At 44.3% G+C, this 4,429-nt stretch overlaps 1 annotated feature.

Moving 5' to 3' along the window:
• Positions 2,296-2,936: an enhancer, noted in NCBI's record as "OCT4-NANOG-H3K27ac hESC enhancer chr1:45688973-45689613 (GRCh37/hg19 assembly coordinates)". NCBI's record gives its function as "activates a minimal SCP1, AML or CMV promoter by ChIP-STARR-seq in naive H9 embryonic stem cells {active_cell/tissue: H9 hESC(naive)}" and the evidence as "EXISTENCE:reporter gene assay evidence [ECO:0000049][PMID:30033119]".

A 4,429-nucleotide genomic window follows, 5' to 3' on the forward strand; every position in this document is an offset into this window, starting at 1 on the left:
GTTAGTGACGCCTGCTGAAGGACCCTTTATGCCATTCTAAGGAGCTTACATTTTATCCTGTAAGCACTTAGGAGCCAGCAGAGATTTTTAAGAAGGGAATGACCAGATTAAATTGTATACAAAGAGGAGGTAGAAATATGGCAGTAGCATGAAAATGGTGTGGAGAGGACAGAAAATAATGGCAATGAGAATGGTTCCATGGATATTTCAATGGGTTAGGAGAAGAATGTTAAAGCAGATTTAAGAACTATTTGGGAGGTGGACTAAGCAGACCTGGAGCAATAAAGAAGCTTTGATGAAAAATAAAGAAAGTAGAAAGTGGTTTCAAATCTTTAACTTGGACTATGTAGTAAAAGTTGAAGTCAATAACCAAAATAGAAAATTCAGGAGTAGCAGATTTCAAGGAAAGAATGATGAGTTCACTTTTGGGACATGTTAGGCTTGAGGTACTTGTGAGAAATCCAAGTGTAAATTGGTCTGAAGCCTAGGAGAATAACTTAGGACAAAGAAGAATTTGGTTAGGGTTAGGGTAAGAGCTGGGATCTTACAGAAAAAGTTAAGATCACCCAGAACAAGTATATAGAGTTGAGGGTGGGGAGGCAGGGAGGAACTAGGATGAAACCAAGTGACCACCAATAATTGAGGGGTAGACATACAGGGAGAAGCAACAAAAGAGACTGAGTCATACAAGAAGTGGAGAGTGTGGTCATACAAGCCCAGTGAGGACTGGAATTTAAGAAGGAAAAGCAAAACAAGGGAACAAGGAAAGAACAAAAGCCTTAGAAGAGTCCCACTACTAAGCTAAGACTCAGACCTCTTTGGAGAGGGAGTAGCTGCCTCAGGAACAAGATGCCTTCAGTTAGTGAAAGAACTTGCCGAATGTTGCTGACCAGAGCTGGCTCATAGGACTGACTCACCAGAGGGAGGAAAAACTTGCCGGACCATGTAGGCAGCTGGATCTGCTTTGTAGGGGCACCCCACTGGCTGATGGAAAAACTTGCTGAAGGACGCAGGTTGGCCGTAGCTGGTCAGTAAAAGCAACCTGCTAGGTAGCAGAGAAATATGCTAAAGGATGCAGGGCAAAGCTGGCTGCTGAGGAGAGCAATACCAGGCCTCCTTCATGATGTCAAAAACCAGCTCAGTGGAACCAGGAAATGAAGTATCTTTCTTCTTCTATGGCCTTGCAGTGTTTCTCCAGAACTCCCTATTGACAAGACTAATATCAAGCAGCTGACAAAGTAAACCTGTTTACAGGGTCCATCTCCAATATTAAATAGCATGGCAAAGAAGGGTACATTTGGATCTGAGAAGCAATAAATTAATAAATGGCACAATTCATCCCTTTGGCTTCCATATGCACCCATTTACACACATTCAAACTTCCATACAACAATAAAACAACTCTATGTTTCTACCTAAAAAGATTCGGTTAAACTTTATATAAGTGAATTTCTCACCAACTCCACAAAATGAGGAGACACATAGTCCGGTCATTATATCCATCATTAGTTATACTAATGACGCAAAAGGAACAGCAGTTTTTGCATTGTTGGAATTTGCCTTTTGATATTGGGATACACTCTCAAATAAATGTGGTTATGTTATACATTATTTTAATGGACACTCTCGCTTTATTTATTTATTTATTTATTTTGCTGATGACATTACTTGCTGTTTATTTTATGTTTATTTTAGACTATGGAAATGATGTTAGACAAAAAGCAAATTTGAGCAATTTTCCTATTCAAGTTCAAAAATGTCGTAAAGCAGCAGAGACAACTTGCAACAATGCATTTAGCCCAGGAGCTGCTAACGCTAATGAACGTACAATGCAGTGGTGGTTCAAGAAGTTTTGCAAAGGAGACAAGAGCCTTGAAGATGAGGAGCACAGTGGCTGGCCATTGGGAGTTGATAATGACCAAAAGAGCGCAAACATCGAAGCTGATCCTCTTACAACTACACAATAAGTTGCCGAAGAAGGCCGCCCCTACTGGGAAGTGAGGAGCCCCTCTGCCTGGCCAGCCGCCCCGTCCGGGAGGGAGGTGGGGGGGTCAGCCCCCTGCCCGGCCAGCCGCCCTGTCCGGGAGGGAGGTGGGGGGGTCAGCCCCCCGCCCGGCCGGCCGCCCCGTCCGGGAGGTGAGGGGCGCCTCTGCCCGGCCGCCCCTACTGGGAAGTGAGGACCCCTCTGCCTGGCCAGCCGCCCCGTCCGGGAGGGTGGGGGGGGGGGGGTCAGCCCCCCGCCCGGCCAGCCGCCCCGTCCGGGAGGTGAGGGGCGCTTCTGCCCGGCCGCCCCTACTGGGAAGTGAGGAGCCCCTCTGCCCGGCCACGACCCCGTCTGGGAGGTGTGCCCAGCGGCTCATTGGGGATGGGCCATGATGACAATGGCGGTTTTGTGGAATAGAAAGGCGGGAAGAGTGGGGAAAAAATTGAGAAATCGGATGGTTGCCGGGTCTATGTGGATAGAAGTGGACATGGGAGACTTTTCATTTTGTTCTGTACTAAGAAAAATTCTTCTGCCTTGGGATCCTGTTGATCTGTGACCTTATCCCCAACCCTGTGCTCTCTGAAACATGTGCTGTGTCCACTCAGGGTTAAATGGATTAAGGGCGGTGCAAGATGTGCTTTGTTAAACAGATGCTTGAAGGCAGCATGCTCGTTAAGAGTCATCACCACTCCCTAATCTTAAGTACCCAGGGACACAAACACTGCAGAAGGCCGCAGGGTCCTCTGCCTAGGAAAACCAGAGACCTTTGTTCACTTGTTTATCTACTGACCTTCCCTCCACTATTGTCCTATGACCCTGCCAAATCCCCCTCTGCGAGAAACACCCAAGAATGATCAATAAAAAAAATAAATAAATAAATAAATAAATAAATAAATAAATAAATAAAAGTTGCCGAAGAAATCAACGTCGACGATTCTATGTTCATTTGGCATCTGAAGCAAACTGGAAAGGTGAAAAAGTTCAATAAATGGTGCCTCATGAGCTGACTGAAAATCAAAAAAATTGTTGTTTTGAAGTATCATCTTCTCTTATTCTACCCAACAACAACGAACCATTTCTCGATCAGATTGTGATGTGCAACGAAAAGTGGATTTTATATAATTGGCAATGGCCAGCTCAGTAGCTGGACCAAGAAGCAGCTCCAAGGCACTTCCCAAAGCCAAAGTTGCACCAAAAAAAGGTCATAGTCACTGGTCTGCTGCCGGTCTGATCCACTACAGCTTTTTTTTTTTTTTTTTTTTTTTTTGAGACAGGGTCTCAATCTGTCACCCAAGCTGAAGTGCAGTGGCTTGATCTCGGCTCATTGCAACCTCTGCCTCCCGGGTTCAAGCGATTCTCCTGCGTCAGCCTCCCGAGTAGCTGGAACTACAGGTGTGCACCACCACACCCGTCTAATTTTTATATTTTTCTAGTAGAGATGGGGTTTCACTATGTTGGCCAGGCTGATCTCGCACTCCTGACCTCAGCCGCCTGCCTTGGCCTCCCTGGGATTACACACGTGAGCCACTGCACCTGGTCAAATCCACTACAGCTTTCTGAATCCCGGCAAAATGATTACATCTGAGAAGTGTGCTCAACAAATCAATGAGATGCACCGAAAACTGCAATGTCTGCAGCCAGCATTGGCCAACAGAAAGGGTCCAATTCTTCTCCATGACAATGCCCAACTGCACGTCGCACAACCAACGCTTCAAAAGTTGAAGGAATTGGGCTATGAAGTTTTGCCTCATCCGCCATATTCACCTGACCTCTCTCCAACTGACTACCACTCCTTCAAGTATGTCGACAACTTTTTGCAGGGAAAATGCTTCTACGACCGGCAGGATGCAGAAAATGCTTTCCAAGAGAGTTTGTTGAATCCCGAAGCACAGATGTTTATGCTACAGGAATAAATAAACTTATTTCTCATTGGCAAAAATGTGTTGATTTTAATGGTTCCTATTTTGATTAATAAATAAGTGTTTGAGCCTAGTTATAATGACTTAAAATTCACGATATAAAACTGCAATTACTTTTGCACCAACCTAATAATTTAGCCTCAAATTTAGTCATGGTCCCACTGAATATTCTTCCACCTAAAGACACAATTGTAAAGTTAACCTCCAACAACTGGTATATAAAATAATAAGGGGAAAAAGAGAGTGAATGATAAAATAGTTAAATATACAAGTAAACATACATATAGTAAACAAAGAGAAAATAGGTAATGCTACTACAGTCCTCACGTCTATAATTGGCCATAGGTGGTATCTATGACTTCCTTCTTCCACTAGCCATCTTGCTCTTTTATAATGTAGAGGTGAGCTGAAACTTCATTCCTGAAAAGTCCTCAATAGTCTTGTGCTTTTAAAAAGTGCTATAGTTTTCTGTAACCTTAACTTTGGGTGTGAAAGTATTAAAAGTAGCCGGGCGCAGTGGCTCACG

The sequence above is a fragment of the Homo sapiens genome, chromosome 1 (assembly GCF_000001405.40).
Source record: "Homo sapiens chromosome 1, GRCh38.p14 Primary Assembly".
NCBI classification, from domain to species: Eukaryota; Metazoa; Chordata; class Mammalia; order Primates; family Hominidae; genus Homo; species Homo sapiens.